General features: G+C 42.4%; 1 protein-coding gene across 4 annotated transcripts in view; it reads right to left on the minus strand.

Annotated features, from left to right (window-relative positions):
- SNTB1 (syntrophin beta 1) overlaps positions 1-23,655 on the minus strand; it is a 276,291-nt gene that overhangs the window by 25,175 nt on the left and 227,461 nt on the right. For 3 of the 4 annotated variants that reach the window (NM_021021.4, XM_047422126.1, XM_047422127.1), the window contains exon 4: positions 14,156-14,295. In NM_021021.4, the coding sequence (NP_066301.1) occupies positions 14,156-14,295 (140 nt within the window). Of the gene's footprint in view, positions 1-10,231; positions 10,435-14,155; positions 14,296-23,655 lie in introns of those variants that run through there. The other variant, XM_011517239.3, reaches the window with a different exon arrangement.

A 23,655-nucleotide genomic window follows, 5' to 3' on the forward strand; every position in this document is an offset into this window, starting at 1 on the left:
AGAATTTGAACCCACGGCTATATGACTACAGAGTCCATACTCTTTCTATCACACAAAAAAAGGGCCAAGCTCCAGCTCACCATCTATAGGTGGGGAAGGAAACAGAAGGGAAAGAGGCTGGGCGCAGTGGCTCATGCCTGTAATCCCAGCATTTGGGGAGGCTGAGATGAATGGATCACTTGAGGTCAGGAGTTCAAGACCAGCCTGACCAACATGGTGAAACCCCATCTCTACTAAAATACAAAAATTAGACGGGCATGGTAGCACATGCCTGTAATCCCAACTACTTAGGAGGCTGAGGATCGCTTGAACCCAGGAGGCGGAGGTTGGAGTGAGCCGAGATTGCACCACTGCACTCCAGCCTGGGTGACAGAGTGAAACTCCATCTCAAAAAAAAAAAAAAAAAAAAAGAAAAAAAGAAAAAAAAGAAACTTGAAAGGAAAGATTACAATGCAGACTTCAGGTCATCCATGGGTTTAATTTATCCCTGTGCTGCTCTTCTCCAGAGGTAAACAAGACTTATAATCTGATGGATATTCTCACGTCATGACAGTCCAACATCTTGGGAAATTTTTCCTTTGAAGTTAACTTTTTTTTAATTATTTAGCAGTCTTGGAGCTATACTTTTTAAATAATTTTTTGAATCTTTTAATTAACTCATATATTCTCTTGTCTAACTGTGCTTTAATTAGTTCAACGTATGTCCCATTGTGTGTGTAGAATACACAGTATAAAAAGATCTTTAGAAATGTCTCCATGTATGGTAATGACTAAAATCAGTCCTATTTTAATGGAAAATTGAAACCATGAACAAATAACCTGAACAATCAGCTCTTATAACACTCGGCTTTTCCTCTATTTCATACCGCCTCCAGATATTCTCCTACCATCAGCCCTGGCTACTATGTTGGCCACTAATAGGAGCCTATCAAGTTTCTCTAACTGAAATGAACATTCCTACCCCAAAGAGGAAGGCATCTGCAGGCCTCCTGTCTGTGGAGCTGTTACAAATAGCATTTAGAGATAGCTCTGTTGTGTGTGCCAAGGAGTTCCAGTCTCCCGACTCCATCCTACCCTCCCCAAACCCATCCAAACAGCCAACAAGTTCATTAACCTCAGTCCTTAGAGCTCGATTACTGTGATTTAAGACACTGGGATTCCCAGATAAAATGCAGAGTCAAATATGTCAAAGTACTTACTTTAATTTCAATTATTTTCTCTGGTCTTTAACAATTGCTAACATTTATCAATCACTTATGTTTCAGTCATATGCTTAATATTTACATATGCTATCTCAATCAGTCCTATCAATCACTGTATAAAATGGAAGATACTACCGCCCCCTTTGTTCAGATGAGGAGACTCTGATTCTGAGAGACTGGTATTTTGCCCAAGAGCGCATTGCAAGTAGAAGTCTCAGGATTCAATACCTGGTTTGTCTGATTTCAAAGTCCATGGACCTCCTCACTCTTCTTATATCCCACCCACCACTCCTGAGGGGCTCCTGGTTAGCAGAAGGGAGGGCCAGAGACCAGACACTGGAAGATCACTAGGTATATGGGGACAAATGGGATGGCTGGGTGTGGAAGGCAAACCCCACACTTTTCAGTTTGACAGCATGTAGATTATTGGGCATGTAAATTTCTTCATGTCACCCCAGGCAATGCCCATAGAATATGCCCCACATTTTCTACCAGTGAGGATGCCTCCCAGGGTTAGCATGGAAACCACAGGCTGATTGTAATTTAATGTTTGACAAATGCAATTGGCCAAACTTTCTAGTGAAAAGAATTCCTAAAATTTCTGAGGCTGGCCTGAGGCAGCTACTACTTTTAGCACTTAGAAACGGGTTAATTGTGGGCAACCTGGTTGGGTCCCCATCCACCCTTCCACGCTGTGGAAGCTTTGTTCTTTCACTCTTCACAATAACCCTTGCTACCGCTCAAAAAAAGAAAAAGAAAAAGAAAAAGAAAAAGAAACGGGTTAGTTGCTTAGGCACCAAGGATTACCCATCAGGTTTAGCAGAAATATTCAGCATGCCTGGTTCCCAAGCCATCTGGGAGTAGAGAAGTGCACATTCTTCAATTCCCCTTTCAAGGCAACCCCACACCCTTCCCTCAGGCCCATGGGACAATAAACTGGGCTCAGAGCAGTGTCGCCCTTTTTACAAGCTCTGTGTTCCCGAAACTCCCCACCAGCCACTGGGACTGGGTATGCAGAATTTCTGGGTTAAACCTCCTCTATAACTCCAGAAATAATGTGACCTTAATCCTCACTCTCTGTAGACCCATCTCATTTGCCAATTATGATGACAGTGACCAAAAAAACCAACACTCTTACTCCATACAAGTGAGCATACCTTTTTTTTTTTTAATGTTCAGCAATATCAAATAAACTTTGGCTAAGCAAAAAATGTTCTCCCAAGGACTCATAAAAAGCTGAGGAATGAGAATTGCTAAAATTACAACTTGTTTGCAAACTTCCTGAGCGCACTGCTATAAACTGTACCACCAATGGACTCATAGGGGCACCATTGAAGTTTGGCAGTGGAAGAGGAGAGATGACTGCTCGTAAACATCTCTGCATGGCAGTCGACACCAGGAACATGTTGTGAGCATTTCTGGTGCCACTTCTATGAAACACAATCAAATTTTCATCCTCCAGAAAAATATAAATTAGATGTGCCTGGGCCTAAAAAGAAAAATCCAAGCAAAGAAATGCATCAACTATGAACTCTTTGAGGGCATAACTTGATTTAGAAGAAAACTGTTTCCTACTGGCTATAGTCCTGGCCATTCCCTCTTGTGCTGAACGAAGCTCCCTAGCTCTGCTACAGGGAAGAGAAGGGGACTGACAGTCACCTGGCCCTACTACGTGTGTTTATGAAAAATAAGGCTGGCCGGGCATGGTGGCTCACGTCTGTAATCTCAGCACTTTGGGAGGCCAAGGCGAGTGGATCATTTGAGGTCAGTTCGAGACCAGTCTGACCAACATGGTGAAACCCCATTCTACTAAAAATACAAAAAAATTAGCCAGGCATGGAGGCTTACACCTGTAATCTCAGCTACTTGGGAGGCTGAGGCAGGAGAATCACCTGAACCTGGGAGGCGGAGGTTGCAGTGAGCAGATATTATGCCATTGCACTCCAACCTGGGCAATAAGAGCAAAACTCTGTCTCAAACAAAAAAAAAAAAAAAGAATTATGTACATAGGTCATTGAATGGCATTGTGCCTCTTTCCACCCAATTCATGTGTTGAAGCCCTAACCTCCAAGGTGACTGTATTTGAGATAGGGCCTAAGATGAGCTGGTTAAAGCTAAATGTGGGGCCCTGATATGATAGGATTAGCGTCCTCAAAATGCTAAGAGACAATAGAGAGCTTGCATTCTCCCTCCATGCACGCAGAAAGTACAGGTCATTTGAGAACATTAAAATAGGGCAGCCGTCCCAGGAAGATGGTCCTCACCAGAAACTGATCATGCTGGCACTTAATCTGGGGCTTCCAGCCTCTAGAATTGTGAGAAAATAAATACCTGTTGTTGAAGCCACCCAGTCTATAGTATTTTGTTATGGCTAATACATTCATCATATTTTAATTTTCATAACTGCCCTGCAATAGATACTATTATTCTGGTTTTTTTTTTTTTTTTTTTTTGAGACAGAGTTTTGCTCTTGTTGCCCAGGTTGGAGTGCAATGGCGTGATATCGGCTCACTGCAACCTCCGCCTCCCAGGTTCAGGTGATTCTCCTGCCTCAGCCTCCCAAGTAGCTGGGATTACAGGTGTGAGCCTCCATGCCTGGCTAATTTTTTTGTATTTTTAGTAGAGATGGGGTTTCACCACGTTGGTCAGGCTGGTCTCGAACTCCTGACCTCAGGTGATCCACCCGCCTCGGCCTCCCAAAGTGCTGGGATTACAGGTGTGAGCCACTGCGCCCAGCCTATGATTCTATTTTTTAGATGTGGAAACAGATCAGAGAGAAGACGTCACTTGCTTGTGGTCATAAACTGAGGCTTGCCTGGGCAAAACTGCAGTGTGCACCCAGGTCTGTCAAATCTGATATGATGAAACATTGTTTTCTCTCTCTACCAGCAAATCCAATGGTCTTCCATTTATTAAGGAGATATTTTTGGAGACATTTTGTTGGCTTATTTCTTAATTTTTTAGTTTCTGCTAACAGGATGGATTTTAAAAGTTTTTTTTTAGCAGGTGGTATAATGATGACCTGTGAATTTTAGTTGGTTACAAATTTTCAGTGTGATGGAGTTGTTTTAAAAATGTAGCCAATGTATTTATAAACCCGAAAATAGAAGAGGGGTTAACAAATTAGAAAATACTAAATTTATTTAGCACTTGCCATGTGTCAAGCACTATTCTAAGCAGTTTACATGATCTAGTGTAATCCTTATAACAACCCTATTAGGCACGTATAGATATTGGGCACATATTACTGATGAAGGACTTGAGGCAAAAAGAGATTACAAAACTCGCCCAAGGCTCCAAGGCTTGGTAAGTAGCAAGGCTGGGATTCGGAGCCAGGTTGTCAGTTTCCAGAACCCACGCTCTGGAGCATTCGTGTGATGGACACTATGCAGCCATGAAAATAAAGCTAGGAAAGAATGCAAAATACCAGGGAAAATGCTAGAAGGTCATCTAAGTGAAAAGGAAGGGCAGCAGCACATCACATTTTAGGAGCTGTTGATCACTCTGTGAGGGCCGGGACCCAGGACAGCCTTAGAACTGATCCACTGGTGGTCATCACAGCTTGTGGCCAAACAGCGCTTCTGAAGAACCACGGGGTAAGAAGAACCACATAGTTGCTGTGGAGTTCCCCACCCACCATGCTGTGGTTTGAACGTCTGTGTCCCCCCAAAATTCATGTTGAAACTGAAGCTCCAATGCAAACGTATTAAGAGGTAGGACCTTTAAGGAGGTGACTAGGTTATGAGGGCCCCACTCTCATGGATAGGATTAGTGCCTTATAAAAGGACTTGGGGAGCCAGGTGTGGTGGCTCACGCCTGTAATCTCAGCACTTTGGGAGGCTGAGGAAGGCGGATCACCTGAGGTCAGGAGTTCGAGACCAGCCTGGCCAACATGGTGGCCTATTAAAATACAAAAATTAGCCAGATGTGGTGTCTGTGTTAAATACAAAATTAGCCGGTGTCTCTATTAAATACAGAATAGAGACAGGTTGTGGTGTCCCTATTAAATACAAAAATTAGCCAGTGTCTTTATTAAAAATACAAAAATTAGCCAAGTGTGGTCATGGGTGCCTGTAGTCCTAGCTACTTGGGAGGCTAAGGCAGGAGAATCACTTGAACCCGGGAGGTGGAGGATGCAGTGAGCTGAGATTGCGCCATTGCACTCTAGCCTGGGCGACAAGAGCAAGACTCTGTCTCAAAAAAAAAAAAAAAAAAAAAAAAGGGTGGGGGAGGCTTGGGGAGTCTGTTAGTCCCTTTTTGCCCTTCCACCCACGTGAGAACACAGCAACAGGCTCCATCTATGGAACCGAGAACACGACTTCACCAGACAGCAAATCTGCTGGCACCTTGATCTTGGACTTCCCAGTCTCCAGAACTGTGAGAACATTTCTATTATTTATAAATTACCCAGGCTAAGGTATTTTGTTATAGCAGCCCCAAATGGACTCGGACACACCACAAACCCCTGAGAAGATGGGAGGCAGCAGCACACAATCTTCTAAATCAATAGTTCTCAAACTGTAGCCTGTGTCAGAAACACCTGGAGGCTTGTTAAAATCAAAGATGGACCGGGTCCCATCCCCAGAGTTTCTGATTCAGTTGGTCTGGGGTGGAGTTGAACATTTGCTTGTTTAACAGTCCCAGATGGTGTTCCCGCTGCTGGGCAAGCCAGAAACTCTAGGTCTCTGATTCTATCCACAACTCTGTCCTCACTTTGCATGATTAGGGGTAACAATTCCCTTGATTGTTAGCTGGAATAAGAGGCCACCTGTTGCATGATTTATTTGTCAGGAAAGAAAACTTTTATATATGATACACTCAGCCAATTCTAAGAGCCATGGAAACTCTAGGAAATAAGGACATGCTCTTAGGAAGCTGCATAGAATAGTGGATAAGAATCAAAAGGTAGAAACAGAATCTCAGGTCCATCTCTTACTGTTACTGTTGCATGACTGTGGTAAGTAACTTAACTACTCAGTTCCTCAGTTAACTGATCTGTGAAATAGGAATAAAACCTTAACCTTATGGGGTTGTGAGGGTTGAATGCGGTAACCCTGAGAAACATTTTCCTGATGTTTGTTAAAAGCACATTCTCCTGATCCCCAACCCCAGCCTAAGCCAGAATATCTAAGGCAGGGTTCTGAAGACCTGAATCTTAATAAACAGCCAGGTAATTCTCATATTGGGCAAGGTTTGCAAACCCTAATAGAATCCACCTAAAGCACGTAGCCTTGATCTATGCCAAATAAGGGCCAGCCACTACTTCATTACAGGGTTGAGCTCCTTTTTTTTTTTTTTTTTTAAAGAGACAGGGTCTTGCTCTGGACCCAGGCGCTGGAGTACAGTGGTGCCATCATAGCTCATTGCAACCTTGATCTCCTGGGATCAAGCAATTCTCCCACTTCAGCCTCTTAAGTCACTGGGACTACAGGTGTGCACCACCATGCATGGCTAATTGTTTTTTATTTTTTGTAGAGACGGATCCTCCATGTTGCCCAGGCTAGTCTTGAACTTCTGGGCTCAAGCAATCCTCCCACCTCAGCCTCCCAAAGTCCTGGGATTACAGCCCAGCTTGATCTATTTTGAAAATAATATTACCATGGCCTTCTTGATAATATTACCCAAGGTGATTAGTTAGTAGACACAGTATAATAAATTTTTTAAAAACATAGCTCTATATCCATAAGTAAAAATTACACCATACCTTTATGATTTGTGCATATTACTATTTATAAATTAGACCTCAATACAAGATTTTTAAAATAAATTTTTAAAAACAGGAATGGATCCTCTTCTTTAGAAATATACAAAGACAAATAATACTACTAGACAGATTACATACTTATGTGGTCATATATAAAGGACACGGTGCTGTATATGGCTGTATAGAATGCATCGGAAGTAAATGAAAGAGTCACTTGTTGAACTTAGATAAGTGGCTAAAAAAGCAGTCAATGGAAGTGCTGGGGTAACCTCTGCAATGGAAGGATTCTGTTTCCCTTTGAATGCTACCATTTCTGGCATGGACCATCCCCCACAACCCGCCAGAAACCAACAGCATCAGCCCAGCTTCCCACCTCAGAGAGCCACCTTTATCCACAAGGAGATAAGAGTTTCTATTTCAGCTGGGGTGGACCCTGCCTCCTACTGCAATTCATTGGGAAGCTCAGCCTGGAGCTGCAAAGGGGCTACATCTCCCTGGCATCATCCCACAGAGAAGGCAGGGGACATTTTTTTCCCATTGTTTGCTTTCTAAAAGTCTTTTTCTAGGTACATCCACAGGGTCTTGGAGAGAAGTTGATCAGGACTGATGCTCTGGTAGCTGATGCTCAAGCCAAAAGGTCAGTTAAAAATCTATTTTACCAAAGTATATTTTCCTTTGGCTTTGGAGACAATGGCATTCCAGTGAGTGTTTCACAGATAGGGATTCTGACAGAGGGAGCTGGGGTGATGAGGCTGGGGTTAAGCACTCTTCTGGAGGAAGGAAGACTAGAATGCAAACTCCCAGCTCTGCCATTTCCAGGCTGCCGCCCAGGAGCAGGCAAAAGCTCACCTACTACTTCGAGAGGATAGAGTGAGAATGAATAGCCAGTGCCACCTAAGATCCCGGACATACTCTGCCTCATGGGCTACCAGCCAGAGACCAGGGCAATCCTTACAGGCCTAATTGTATCATTCCTCATAGGGTTAATATCCACACAGAATAAGATTTCCTCTTGCAGTTCAGTGGTTAAGCTGGGTAATTTGGGAGAGGGACAGTGAGTTGAGGGGACAACTATTACAACTGGGTCTGCTTTATGGTTGCATCATAGACACTGATTTTTTTCTTTTTACTACATCTTCTGTTTTGTTTGCTTGTTTGTTTTTGAGATAGAGTCTTGCTCTGTTGCCCAGGCTGGAGTGCAGTGGCGCGATCTCGGCTCACTGCAATGCCGCCTCCCAGGTTCAAGCGATTCTCATGCCAAAGCCTCCAGAGTAGCTGGGATGACAGGCACCCACCACCATGCCTGGCTAATTTTTGTATTTTTAGTAGAGACGGGGTTTCACCATGTTGGCCAGCTGGCCTCGAACCCCTGACTTCAGGTGATCTGCCTACCTCGGCCTCCCAAAATGCCAGGATTACAGGTGTGAGCTACTGTGCCCAGCCCGCATCTTCTATTCTAAATGATCACAGTGATGCACTGAAGAGGTTTCCATTTCCTGTTTGCATATTGGATGCAGGCTTATGGGTTTAGGCTATTCATCTGCTTTACTCTCAGTTCAGACCTGGCACCCCTGTCACTTGTGAACCTGTAGCAGACACTTTCAGTGCTCCACTCAAACCTCTTCAGTTCCCATTTACTGTTTCTGCACATCCATCTCTCCTTCTGGGCCTTTGCTTTTAAGGAATCACACTTAGGACTTTCCTGCTTGTGCAGAAGCCTGAAGAGCCTGCGAGACGACATCCCTCCAGGCAGCCTCAGCTGTCCATGGACTGCTGTAGGAATGTACAGCTCCAGTCACTTGCCTGAGTCGGGACAAACTTGGAAGGAGTCATTTACATGCTCTAGGAAAGTGCTGTCTGATAGAATTTTGGTGGTGATGGGGATGTTCTAGATCTGTGCTGTTCGAAATGGTAGTCACTAGCCACAGGTGGCTATTGGACCCTTGAAATATGGCTAAGGAGGGTGAGGATCTGAATTGTTAATTTCACTTAAATTTAATTACTTTAAGTAGCCACATCTGGCTAGTGGCTACCATGCTAAGCAGTCTAGCTCTCAAGACCCCTGTAAGGTCAGGCTGAGGCTGAGACTTTGCCTGAAATCCTAGCCTCCTTGGCTCCTCTCTCTTTTTGTCCTTCCCCTCCTCCTTTCCAGGCTTCTCCTGGGAGCATTTGCTTAAGAACTCACTGCCACTTCAGTCCTTGTTGCCTTCTCTGCTTCTGAAGAACCAGACCAAAGGCAGAGCCTTTCTCAGTCTCCTCATCTTACCAGGGGGTTGAAGTCCCAGGGCTAAACCTGGTTACAGGATAGGAAAGCTGAGAAAAAACCAAAAGAGGGGAGACTCCTGGGGAGCAACTTATCTCTTCCTGTAGCTAAGTACTTTGTGTCCTCACAGAAATTTGGTTTTATTTTTATTTATTTATTTTTCTTTACAATGGAATCAGGATCACTGCAAAATTGGATTCAGCAGTCACTCCTTGGACATTTGTTATTTGACACCAAATATAAAAATATCTACCCAGATCACATCCATGACTCTTATCATCCCCAAAGACTCCTGCTGTTCCCCATGGTTCCAATTTCAAAAGGTAGAAAAGGATACGCTAGTGAAAAGTCTTCCTCCCCATCTCCCACCTCTGTGTCAACCCCCTGTGGTACCAAGGCACAGGTATGCAAGTGACACACAGTCCCGGAACTGGAATCCCACCTCCATCTCTCAGAAGCTACACCACCTGGGGTGATTCCTGAACTCTTTTGAGCCTCAGGTACCTAATCTGCAAAATGGGCACACTAATACCGGCCTTGCAGAATGGATACACACGTTGTAAGTGGTAACTTGTGTCAAGTGCTGGGTACTTAGTGAGTATCTGATTCATTTCCCCTCATTCCCCAGGGCCGTATGTGGTGCTCTAACTGGGCCATGCAGCAGTGCACGAGCTCTGTGCTTGGATCTTCCCTAAGTCTGGAATGCTCATGCCCCTCTCTGGGCTCCCTTCCCTTGTTCCTCTGGTGAGTTTTCCCTCAGGCTTCAATTCAACATGACTTCTACTGCAAGGAGTCCTCCACCACTGTCCAGGCAGAGTTTGGCATTTTTTGTTGTCTTTACTGCAAATGGTTCCTTATGTGTTCCTGCACATCAACACACTTTGTTCCAGATAATGCTAGGTTCACAAGTTTGAATTTTTTTCACCTCTTTATCCCTTGTCCCAATTATAACTCCTGGCACATAGTAGATGATTTATAAATGTTGACTGATGAATGAATGAATGAATGAAAAAGCAGTCCCCATTGTTCATAATGCCCAGAAACTGTGAGAACAAGGCTATGTACGAGGGTAAATTTTATTTTCATGTTGCCTGAGAGTTGCAGAAACTACCTTATTTCAACTTTTGTTTCTGAGAATCATTTCAAGATGCTTGGGTCCAACTTTGCTTCTTAGTAACTGGAATCCAGTGACTGTGGTCTAATCTTTCTTTGGTTTCTGTTGCGGGAATGTCTCAGAATCTGAAGATAATGTTCACGGATGAGGACTGTGGATGCAAAGTACAGAAAGCAATAGCGATTGGGCCGAATTCTCATGGACCCCAAGGCACAGCCTGAGTCTTTGTGTGCAGTTAAGGATGTTTACATTCTGACTATTGAGGGTTTTTTTTTTTTTTTTTTTTTTTTTTTTTTTTTTTTGAGACAGAGTCCCACTCTGTCACCCAGGCTGGAGTGCAGTGGTGTGATCTCAGCTCACTGCAACCTCTGCCTTCCAGGCTCTAGTGATTCTCCTGGCTCAGCCTCCTGAGCAGCTGGGAACCACAGTTGTGTGCCACCACACCAGGCTAATTTTTGTATTTTTAGTAGAGATGGGGTTTTGCCATGTTGGTCAGGCTGGTCTCGAACTCCTGATTTCAGGTGATCTGCCCTCCTCGGCCTCCCAGAGTGCTGGGATTACAGGCATGAGCCAGCATACCCGGCCATGATTACTGCAGTTTTATTACAAAGCTGTATTTTACTTTAGTAGCCATTCTGCCAAACATTTTGAAGCTTGAAAGCTTCAAATATTAAATTACTTTTAAATTTTATTTTTTAAAGGTGATCTAGGCCTGGTTCCTCACCCCTGAAAACCTCCTCTATTCACCTCTGGAGCCAATAATTTCCATCTTTAGCTCCCCACCTCCCCGGCCCCACCCCCGCTGCTGGTCTTCATTATCAATCATGACTGGAAGTAAGAAGGATTTTTCTGGAATTTCAGCTCTATTCACTACTGGCATTTTAATCTTGTGTTAATTCTTGCTCTGCTACTGGGTCTCATTCTCCTCCTTGCAGCCAGCTGACCCTTGACCATAACCTGTTTGGCAGCTCAGTCCTTCCTAGATGAAGAGCCCACCTTATTTCTGTCTACATCTTGCTCAGGTCAGATGCTCCAAAACCTCTGTCCACTACGCTTTGTCTCTTGGACCAAACTTCTTCCAGAGTTTGTCTCACATTGTTCAATAATTCATTCAACAGACATTCAAGGGCACAATATTGCCAGGCACTGTGCCAGGAAGGACACAAATATGACTTTATCATGCCTAGCTTGCAGGTAAAGAAACAGGTGTAGAAGGAATACAAACAGCTCACTGTCATAAAGCACAAACAAAAAGAGCTGGCAAGAGAAGTCAGGCCTGGGAAATGTCAGCTACTTGAAAGCAAGACTTGAGTTTGATTCATTTCTGTTTTTGGGATATAAGCTTTCAAAGAGGGGGACAAGGATACAACACATTAAAACTATTTCAGGCCAGGTGCAGTGGTTGAGAAGAACGTCCATAATCCCAGCACTATGGGAGGCCGAGGGAGGAAGATCACCTGAGGTCAGGAGTTCAAGACCAGCTTGGCCAACATGGTGAAACCCTGTCTCTACTAAAAAAACAAAACGAACAAAACAAACAAACAAACAAAAATTAGCCGGGCGTGGTGGTGGGCGCCTATAATCCCAGCTACTCAGGAGGCTGAGGTAGGAGAATCACTTGAACCCGGGAGGCAGAGGTTGCAGTGCGCCAAGATAGCACCATTGCACTCCAGACTGGGTGACAAGAGTGAAACTCTGTCTCAAAAATAAATAATTAAAAATCAAGCTGTATTTCATGTCTTGGTTGCTGTGAATAATGTTGCAATGAACATGGGAGCGTAACTACCTCTTTAAGACCTTAATTTCAGTTCTCTTGGATATAGACCCAGAAGTGGGATTGCTAGCTCACATTAGAATTCTGTTTTTAATTTTTGGAGAAATCTCCATACTGTTTTCCAGAGTGGCTGCACCATTTTACATTCCTATCAACAGTATACAAGGATTTCCTTTTCTCCATTTTACATTCCTAACAACAGTGTACAAGGGTTCACATTTATCAAATGATAAACAACACTCATTATCATTTGTCTTTTTGACAATAGCCATCCTAACACACATCCTAAGCACATCCTCACTGTGGTTTTGAATTGCATTTCTCAGATCATTAGTGACATTAAACACCTTTTGGACATCTGTATGTCTTCTTTGGAGAAATGTCTATTCAGGTTCTTTTTGAATCAGTTTTCTTTTTTTGCTATTGAAATGTAAATCTTTATATATTTTGGATATTAACCTTTAATTAGATATGAGGTCTCCCATTTTGTAAGTTGCCTTTCCATTTTGTTGATTGTTTCCTTTGCTATGCAGAAGCTTTCCAGTTTGATGTAGTTCCATTTATTTATTTATTTTTGCTTTTGTTGCCTGTGCTATAGGTGTCATATACAATAAATCATTGCCAAGGCCAATGTCAAGAATATTTTTCCCTATGTTTTCTTCTGGAAGTTTTACAGTTTCAGATCTTACCTTTAAGTCTTTTATCCATTTTGAGTTTATTTTTGTGTATGGTGTAAAATAGGGTTCATTGTTTTGCATATGAATATCCAGTTTTCCCAGCACCATTTATTGAAGAGAATATCCTTTCTCCATTGTGTATTCTTGGCACCCTTGTCAACAATCAGATGACCACAAATGGGTGAATTTATTTTTGGGCTCTCCAATCTGTTCTACTGGTCTCCGTGTTTTTATGCCAGTATCATAAGGTTTTGATTATTATAGGCTTGTAATACAGTTTGAAATCAGGAAGTGTGATGCCTCTAAAGGTCCGTCTATAGATGAACGGATAAAGAAAGTGTGGTATTTACATATAATTCAATATTATTCAGCCTTAAAAAAGAAATTCTCCCATATTTGACAACATGAATGAACCTGAAGAACATTATGCTAAGTGAAATATGCCAGACACACAAGGACAAACACTACAGGATCCCATTTATATGAGGAATCTAAAATGACGAAGCTCTTAAAGCAGAGAGTAGAATGGTGGTTTCCAGCGGGGAGAGGGAAATGGGGATGTGTTGGCCAAAGGGCACGAAATTTTTGTCATGCAAGTTGAATAAGTTCTAGAGATCTACTGTACAGCATAGCGCCTATAGCTAACAACATGGTATTATATACCTAAAACGTTGCTAAGAGGGTAGATCTTATGTTACATGTTGTTATCACAAAAAATAAAATATAGAGGAAGGAGGAAATTTTTGGAGGTGATGAGTATGTTTATGGTATAGACTATGATGATGGTTTCATAGGTGTATATTTATCTCCAAATTTATCAAATTGTATACATTAAATATGTACATAACTTTGTATGTCAATACCGTGATGAAGTGCTTTTTAAAGACATATTTCACATGAATAATAAATGTGCACTGAAGGACCTGAAAAACCGAGCCTGGCAGCCACCCTTCCACAGGAAGCGTCATGGAACTGAGAAATAACTTGTTATGAGATTTCCTGCTGAACAAGCCTTAAAAAGCACAGTGGAGCATTCCCACATAACATTCTTTTGTGCCACTAAGTGAAGACCCTTGCTTGGTGATTCTACTTGGACTTCAAGACTATAAACACATATGTCCAGTTCATTTCAAAGGGAATGAGATGGAGACCCAGGAAGGCGGCTAGATGAGGACCATCTCGCAGATGTCACTGTTTCTTGATGATGGACGGTATTTTGTTCTTTGTCTCTGTGTTGTTGCTTCATGTTTGGCCATAAATGATCATTAATCTATGTGGCTAAAAATGTGTGGCTATATTCTTAAGGAGCTCTCAGCCCCTGCTGCAATAGTGAGCAGTAATATAACGTATTGAGCTAATTGTAATTCATTAAATAGAATCCACCTGCAAACACATCATACCAAACACAAGGCCATGGCTACCTGGTGGCAAGAAGAGGGTATGTGTGAACTGGGCTGAACCAGGCTTCCTTCCTCCGTGGCATGCTGTCATAGATTAAAAGGTCTTTCTCAGTCAGCACAACCAGGGCTGGTTTCCACTGTTTCTTGCTCTCCCCTGGCACCTGAAAAAGAAAGCAGAGAACTGTCAAATGACAGCCTGAGGAAAGGATGATTATGAGAAGTTGGCATCCCCCTAATCAGAGGACTCAGCAATACATTGAGTGTCTTTTGGTTTGGTTGCAAAATCAAAATGGAAAGAACCTTGTCTTTATCCCATGCTTCCTGATCCTTGAAAATATCTGTTGTCTCAAGGGCCCTGAAATGTATAGTCAGGACAGCCAAGAAGCAGCCCAGCTGCCACACATCTGTCACTGTTTCTCACCTGCCAGTCAGCACTGAATCTTTATTTTATAGTGGGAGGCAAATGCCTGGGGGAATAAGTACTTCCAGCTGATTCACTGGTACAGTAGCATTTTTTTTTATTATGAAATGGTAAGGTCTAAAAAGTTTTTGAATAAATATCTAAAGGCTCTGAAAAATGTACTATGGTGGCAAATGTCTACCCAGACAGAGTGAGATATCACAGCCTCTTTCCCTAGTCTTTTGCTCTTAGATTGGTTCTGTGATTCAGGCATCATCTTGAAACTTCTCTGGTTCTGTTGAATGTCCAGTTCCATTCACCACCCATAATTTATTAACTCAAGGGTTGAGATGACCTGACAGGAATGTGAAAGGATTGTGATAGTCATCAGTAATGATTGGACCAGATGATCTCTGAAAACCCTTCTAATCTGGAGAATCTGTGTAGCTCAGCTCTTATCTCATGAGCCATCCCCTTGGCCTGGTGTTTGCCCTTCCCAAACTTCCTATATGTTCCTCTGTCTATAAAAATGCTCTCCTTCCCATTTGATGGGCCCTAGGATACATCTTTAAGCTCGGTTTAAAAACTCAGTGAATGCTCAATTCTTGCTACTCAAAATATGGACTATGTTCCAGTAGCATCAGCATCATTTGGGAGCTTGCTAGAGTCTCAGGCCCATCCAGATCTGTTGAATCAGAGTCCGCATTTTAACAAAATCTTCAGGTAATCCCTTGGCTCATTAAAGAAACACTGCTCCAGATGAGGTTAAGATTGCTTTTGACACTGACAACTATCAAAGATTTAATGTTGTCATAATAAGTCACAACTCAAAAATCTATTCAGAATCAAAGAAAATTAGACAGTAAGCTAAATAAGTGATAAAGCTAATTTCTTCCCTTTCTAGTCTTATTATTACTTTATCTTAAGTGACACAGTGGAATCCGTATAGAGATAGAAGCATGTGTGTAGCTCTTGCTTTAGGCTAACACCCTAGTATGAGGAATGAGTGATCAAAGTAGAGAAGATTTACAGAATGATGTACGACTTGAGTTCTGTAGGTCCTACATGTAGGCTGCCTAAATCTGAGTCTGTTATTTATTGCCTGTGTGACTCTGGTCAAGATATTCTCTGTGCTTCTATTTCCTTACTGATAAGGATAATATCATATACAACAGTGGTTTTGAGTGCTGACTCGGGAGCTAGCAGGCCTGAACACAAATTTGTGTTACCCAGTTTACTAGCTGTGGGGGTCTTGGGCAAGTCAACTAATTTCTTTGTATCTCAGTTTCTGGATCTGTAAAATGAGAAATAATAGTACCTATAGCAGAGGGTGGTTGTGAAGATTAAATGAGCTAAAATTTGTAGAAATGCTTAATACAGTGCAGAATAAGCATCATGTAAGTACCTGTTAAGTAAAGTAGCACTTACCTCATCATGCTATAGTGGGGATTGAGACAGTGTGTGTAATGTGTTTGGCATGGTAGCTGGCAGATGGTAACGCCCTCAGTAAAACACAGGATGGGGAAATTGTGTCAGACACCAATTTTTGAACATGTCAAAAATGGTGTCCTTTGGAAATGGCATCACTATGACAAGGCAATGACTTTCCTTGGGAAAAATTATAAGACAAGCCAAAAATAAGCTTGGTGCTAACAATTTCAATACCTTTTCTTCCCATCCTTTCCAAAGTTCTCCCAGGAAGAACTCATTGCTTGATGATCACCTTTATATTTTAATGCCTCCCTTCCAGCAATTCCAAACAAAAACTGTGCTTCTGAAGAAGTGCCCTCCCCGACTCCGCTGCTGTAAAGCTATTTATGCTGGAACATGAATGACTGTTGACATATTCCTCATTTTGTGTATTTTATGCATATTTTAAAAGCTAGCTTTAGCTTGTTGCTTTTGTAAAAGGACTTTTTCCAACAGAACAACAGCATCTTCAATAGATCAAAATGAATTGTTAGAGAAGGCAATGTACCAGACTCTGCAAGGTGAATAAAGTATGGTCTCAAGGCATAAAGTGTTTGGGGTAGGGGGAAGGGGGTTCAGAATAAATTTTTTCCAACTTCTACATTAAATTTAGTAAATTACTTTTCCAGCTCATTAAATAGGACTGGAGAAGCTACAAATGATCCTCCCAAAGTGACTAGCTTACTTACCTAGTCAGATGCAATCCATTAACTTTGACCAGAATCAGTCATTTAAATGTGACAGCAACTAAGCATCATTCTTCAAAAACAATATTAAGTTTGAAAATAAGACTCAACAGTAAATACCAACAGTATAATGCAGACTTCTCTACTGGTGGAATCACAAACTCACCCATGTGTCAAGTGGTATATGTAGGTTTAAATAGTCCCAAAGCCCTAAAACATTTTGCAGTCTATTGAAGAGCGCTGTGTGGATATGGTAAACTCTGCTGTGAGAATACTTGGAGTGGGCACATTCCACTATTCCTGTATGCAGAGCTGTTATTTTAATACTAATGTAAATGCTTAGAGGTAGAAGGCTGCCTATGGGGACAAACAACTTTCCAAAGGGGGGAAAAATCATGTGGAAGAACAGGGATTTGTTTGTTTTGTTTTTGAGATAGAGTCTTGCTTTGTCGCCCAGGCTGGAGTGCAGTGGTGCGATCTCGGTTCACTGCAAGCTCCGCCTCCTGGGGTTCACGCCATTCTCCTGCCTCAGCCTCCCAAGTAGCTGGGACTACAGGCGCCCGCCATCACGCCCGGCTAATTTTTTTTTTTTTGTATTTTTAGTAGAGATGGGATTTCACTGTGTTAGCCAGGATGGTCTCGATCTCCTGACCTCATGATCTGCCTGCCTCGGGAACAACAGGGTTTTAAAAGCCATACCTTGTGCTACATACGCTTCATTATTTCAAGCCTTTGAAGACCAGTTTTTGTCAGGCTCAAATATTGGTGCTATTGTTCTAGTGACAACGTGCATTACAAATCCAGCTTTCCTGGCACCCAAAGGTATTCTGATATGAATACGACAGTTTTGGAGATGTGTCTGCATTTTGTTAACACATGACTCCTGAAACAGATGTGATTTCCATCTCTGCCTGGCTTCCTGCCTTGAGTGCTGCAGTCAGTTTCTCAAGAACTGATCAGATTTCTAATGAAGAAGGTGAAGAAAGGCAACAGGGGAATAAAACATTCAATTCTGAAATTATTCTGAAGCACAACTTTGGTGAGCTGAGTTGTGTCCCTGTAATCACTTCCACAGAGCATGAGAGGAAAGGTTTACAAAATGGCAAGAATTTCAGAGCTGGTGGTAAGAAGTAATTGGTAACAATTATGGAAGTGTCCTTAATCTGAGACAGGTCTCCCAAATCATCTGGGTCAGTGGCTTCCAAACTCTTTAAATTCAATGATCTCTCTGTTCAGATTAAGTCACAAGTCCTAGAACAATATGTAAAAGAATTGGACGGGCGAGGTAGCTCAGGCCTATAATCCCAGCACTTTGGGAGGCCGAGGTGGGCAGATCACCTGAGGTTGGGAGTTTGAGACCAGGCTGGCCAGCATGGTGAAATGCCGTCTCTACTAAAAATACAAAAATTAGCCAGGTGTGGTGGCGGGTGCCTGTAATCCTAGCTACTCAGGAAGCTGAGCCAGGAGAATCACTTGAACCCGGGAGGCAGAGGTTGCAGTGAGCCAAGATCGCGCCATTGCACTCCAGCCTGGGCAACAGAGCGAGACTCTGTCTCAAAACAAACAAACAAACAAACAAACAAACAAACAAACAAAGAGCAAACAAACAATTGAAAGAGACTTTATACGGGGTTGCCTCCCAGTGGGGATCTTGGCCCCTCTGAGACTTTATGTCTTCATCCTAGCACCACCCATGCCTCTAAGTGGGGTTGCTACTAATCTTTGGAATATAGTTTGAAAACTGATCTTGTCTCTTCTAAAATATCTAGAATCTGGCAGGGCACAGTGGCTCATGCCTATACTCCCAGTGCTTTGGGAGACCAAGGTGGGTGGATCACTTAAGGCTGGGAATTCAAGACCAGCCTGGCCAACATGGTGGAAACTCTGTCTCTACTAGAAATACAAAAATTAGCTGGGCATGGTGGTGCATGCCCTGTAGCCCCCAGCTACTCGGAAGGCTGAGGTGCAACAATTGCTTGAGCCCAGGTGATGGAGTTGCAGTGAGTCAAGATTGCACCACTGCACTCCAGCCTGCGTGACAGAGTGAGACTCTGTGTCAAAAAAGAAAAGAAAACAAACAAACAAACAAACAAAAAACCTAGAATCTTCACATGATTTCCAAAGGGACAGTTTTACCAGAACTTTCAGTGCCTTTTTTGTGGGTTCTTCCAAAGAAAAGAATGATACTGTTGTCACTTAGGCAGAATTGTAAGGATTAAATGAATTCGTGCACATATAGGATTTACAAAGCTGTCTTACAGACAGTAAACAGGCAATCCTTAAAAATCATAGCTATTTTTTACTATTAAGGAGAGTGCACATCAGATTAAAGATCTGAGTGAGCTTGGGCAAGAATTACTTGCCTTTGCTGGGTCAAAATTTCCTCCTCTGCCAAATGATGGGGTGGGACTAAATTATTGCTAGCACCTCCTCAACTTCAAAATCCAATCATCTGTTAAAGTTTAAAGTTATCTGCTACTAGGCTGGAACTGCTTCAGCTACTGGGATTCTTGCTTTACAGCTCTTTGTTCAGTGCACTCTTTTCCTGAGGCAAAAAGCAATACGGGGGTCTCTTTTTCTCGCTTCATACCAACTCACTCTTCCTAACATATTTACTTTCCACCTTCTACTTGAGCACGCATGGCAGGAAGAGCTCACAGTCTTTAGAGCCGAACAGCATGTCTTCAAAATCTGGCTTTGCCACTTCCCAGCTGAGGGACGTGAACAGCTTACTTAAGTGCTCTAAGCACTTGTTCACTGATGTGTCACATGCTGAGGATGGCCTCCCATGCACGTGTCTTTGAGGATCAAATGAGACAATGTATATAAAACTTCCTACATGATGGGTACTCAAAATGGTAAACTGCCCCAGTTGCTCACCTCAAGACACTGTTTCCCCCAGCTCCCATGAGCAGGAAGGAAGGTCTAGATGTAAGGGACAGAGAACACAAAGTGAAAACGTTCACGAAGGAAGAAGGGCCATCATGGCTTTTGTATTGCAGATCGTGTTTATCTCGACAACTTTTTAATTGAAGTCTGTTTCGCCTCAGGTTGCTAGGTGTTTAGCACAAAGGACAAGCTATCGGTGTAATAATAATAATTAGCATTGATCAACTTCTAAATGCTTTACAAACATTAGATAATTAATCCCTGCATCAACTCTCAGGGAGGCTGATAAAGAAGAGAAACAGCATTTAAATGTGGCCACAGGCACATAGGGACAGGGCTAAGCAAGGCCACTCAAATCTCCAGCTCTCTTCTAGCTTGCCCTGAACAATCCCCAGGACCCAGGAATCAGGAGTCAGACAAGACGTCTAGAGCTGGTTGGCATGCTGGCTCACGTCTGTAACCCCAGCTACTTGAGAGGCTGAGGCCTGAGACTCATTTTAATCCAGGAGGTGGAGGTCACAGTGAGCTGAGATTGCACCACAACACTCCAGCCTGGGCAACAGAGTGAGACCCTGTCTCAAAAAAAAAAAAAAAAAAAGAGAAAGAAAAAGACATCTAGGACATCTAGAGCTGAATGCAAAGGAGAATGAAAAGGAAGAAAAGGCAAAGGAGAATGAGAAAAAAGGCCAGAAAAAGAAGAAAAGTGCTCTATGGGAGCCTCAGCTTTCTAGGACTAACTTCTCTCTTCTCACAAGCTGTCTAGTACCAGGATCACCTGCTGAATTCAAGATTGGTGTCAAGAGGGGAGCAGAGGCCAGGCACGGTGGCTCAGGCCTGTAATCCCAGCATTTTGGGAGGCCGAGGTGGGCAGATCCCCTGTGGCCAGGAGTTTGAGACCAGCCTGGCCAACATGGTGAAAACTCGTCTCTACTAAAAATACAAAAATTAGCGGGGCATGGTGGTGCACACCTGTAGTCCCAGCTACTCGGGAGGCTGAGGCATGAGAATCGCTTGAACCTGGGAGGCGGAGGTTGCAGTGAGCCGAGATTGCACCATTGCACTCCAGCCTCGGCAACAGAGTGAGACTCTGTCTCAAAAAAAAGGAGAAGAGCAGAATGAGTGATGTATCATGTGGATGGATGTTAAGATAATGATGAAAAATAAAGTGAGGTGAAAAGGATGGCAAGAAAAATATGGTCTGATCATGGGACACTAAAGAGCGTGTCATTTTAATTTTAATTTTATTTTTACTTATTTATTTTTTTAGACAGTGTCTTGCTCTGTCTTCCAGGCTGGAATGCAGTGGTGCCACCTTGGCTCACTGCAACCTTTGCCAGCCTGGCCAACAAGATGAAATCTCTAGTAAAAATATAAAATTAGCCAGGCATGGTGGCACATGCCTGTAATCCCAGCTATTTGGGAGGTTGAGGCAGGAGAATTGCTTGAACCCGGGAGGTGGAAGTTGCAGTGAGTCAAGACCATGCCATTGCACTCCAGCCTGGGCAACAAGAGTGAAACTCCATCTCAAAAAACAAAAATAAAAAACAAACAAAACAAAAAAACCATAGCAGAACACCCATTCATGTCAAGTACACATAGAATTAACAAGATAGACAGTACTCTGGGCATTAAATCTAGTTTCGATAAGTTTAAATGTATTCAAGTTAAACAATGTATGTTCTTTGACCAAAATGGAATTAAATTAGAAATCAATAATGGAGATCTATGGAAAATAAAAACACAACATATCAAAATCCTCAAGATGTTGCTACAGCAGGACTAAGAAGAAATGGGCAATTAATGCCAATATTAGAAAAGAAGAAAGGATTCAAGTCAATGGTCTCAGCTTTCACCTTAACAAACTAGAAATAGAAAAAAAAATTTAAAATCAAAATAAGCAGAAAATAGGAAATAATAAAGACCAGTGCAGAAATCAATGAAAATGGAAACATGAAAGCATCAGAAAGTTCAACAAAACCAAAATCTGTTTTTTTGAGATCATGATCAATAAACCTCTAGCCACCCAGACTGACCATGAAAATGAGAGAGAAGACACAAATTATGAATATCAGAAATGAAATGAGTTCATGTCCTTTGCAGGGACATGGATGAAGCTGGAAACCATCATTCTCAGCAAACTAACACAGGAACAGAAAACCAAACACTGCATGTTCTCACTCGTAAGTGGGAGTTGAACAATGAGAACACATGGACACAGGGAGGGGAATATCACACACTGGGGCCTGTCGGGGGATGGGGGACAAGGGGAGGGAGAGCATTAGGACAAATACCTAATGCATGCGGGGCTTAAAACCTAGATAATGGGTTGATAGGTGCAGCAAACCACCATGGCACATGTATACCTGTGTAACAAACCTGTTCATAGCATGTTCTGCACATGTATCCCAGAATTTAAAGTAAAATTAAAAAAAATGAAACAGGGGACATCACTACATAGTCTGCAGATATTAAATATAAGACTGGGTGTGGTTCTCTCATCTATAATCCCAGCGATTTCGTAGGCTGAAGTGGGAGAATTGCTTAAGGCCAGGTGTTTCAGAACAGCCTGGGAAACATAGTGAGATCCTCTTTATAAATAATAATATTAATAAATATAGCATTAAATGTACGATAATGGGATGTATGAAGAATTGACAAATTCATTGAAAGACAAACTACTAAAGCATATTCAAGAAGAAATACTGGAACAGCTGGGGATGGTTGCTCACGCCTGTAATCCTAGCATTTTGTGGGGAGGCCAAGGTCGGGGGGATCACCTGAGGTCAGGAGGTCAACACCAGCCTGGCCAACATGGTGAAACCCCATCTTTAACTAAAAATACAAAAATTAGCCAGGCGTGGTGGTGGGTGCCTATAATCCCAGCTACTCCTACTCAGGAGGGTGAAGCAGGAGAATTGCTTGAACCCAGGGGGTGGAGGTTGCAGTGAGCCAAAATCGAGACACTTCACTCCAGCCTGGGTGAAAGAGGGAAACTCCGTCTCAAAACACACACACACACACACACACACACACACACACACACACACACACAAAACTGGAACAGTACTATCTCTCTTAAAGAAACTGAATCGGTAGTTTAAAATGTTTCTCCCCAAAATACTGAAGGGCCAGATGACTTCACTGAGGAATTCTATCAAATAGTTAAGAAATAATACCAATTATATATAATTCTTTCAGAAAATGGAAGAGTAGGGATACTTCCAACCCATTCTATAGACTAGACTTACGCTGATCCAAAATAAGACAAATATATTACAAAAATAGAAAACTATAAACCAGTACGCCTCATGAACATAGATCCAAACTTTCTAAACAAAATTTTAGCAAATTGAGTCTGAAATTATATTTAAATGGTAATACATCATGACTAAGCAGGGATTAATCCAAAAAAGCATTACTGTAGCTATCTAATAACAAATTAAAAATCAATCAATACTTAAAATACTTTAAAAAGTAAGGACAAAACCCAACATCTCTTTCTGATTTTAAAAACACTCAGCAGGTCTGGCGTGGTGGCTCACGCTTGTAAGCCCAACACCTTGGGAGACCGAGGTAGGTGGATCACTTGAGGTCAAGACCAGCCTGGCCAACATGACAAAACGCTATCTCTACCGAAAATACAAAAATTAGGGCACGCACGGTGGCTCATGCCTGTAATCCCAGCACTTTGGGAGGCCGAGGCGGGCAGATCACCTGAGGTCAGGAGTTCGAGACCAGCCTGGCCAACACTGTGAAACCCTGTCTCTACTAAAAATACAAAAATTAGTTGGGCCTGGTGGTGGGTGCCTGTAGTCCCAACTACTTGGGAGGCTGAGGCAGAGTTGCTCGAACCCAGGAGGCAGAGGTTGCAGTGAGCTGAGATCGCACCACTGTACTCCAGCTTGGGTGACAGAGCGAAACTCCATCTCAAAAAAAAAAAAAAAAAAAAAAAGTGTAGTAATTTAGAAGGAGCAGTTAAGAGAAAAAAGTTTAGGGAAAATGTAATATATTTGATTTTGAGTCATTTAAAGCTGGTGGTTTAAAAATCTACGTGACAGGGAAAGAATTCTCTCTAT

This window comes from Homo sapiens, chromosome 8 (assembly GCF_000001405.40).
Source record: "Homo sapiens chromosome 8, GRCh38.p14 Primary Assembly".
Lineage (NCBI taxonomy): Eukaryota > Metazoa > Chordata > Mammalia > Primates > Hominidae > Homo > Homo sapiens.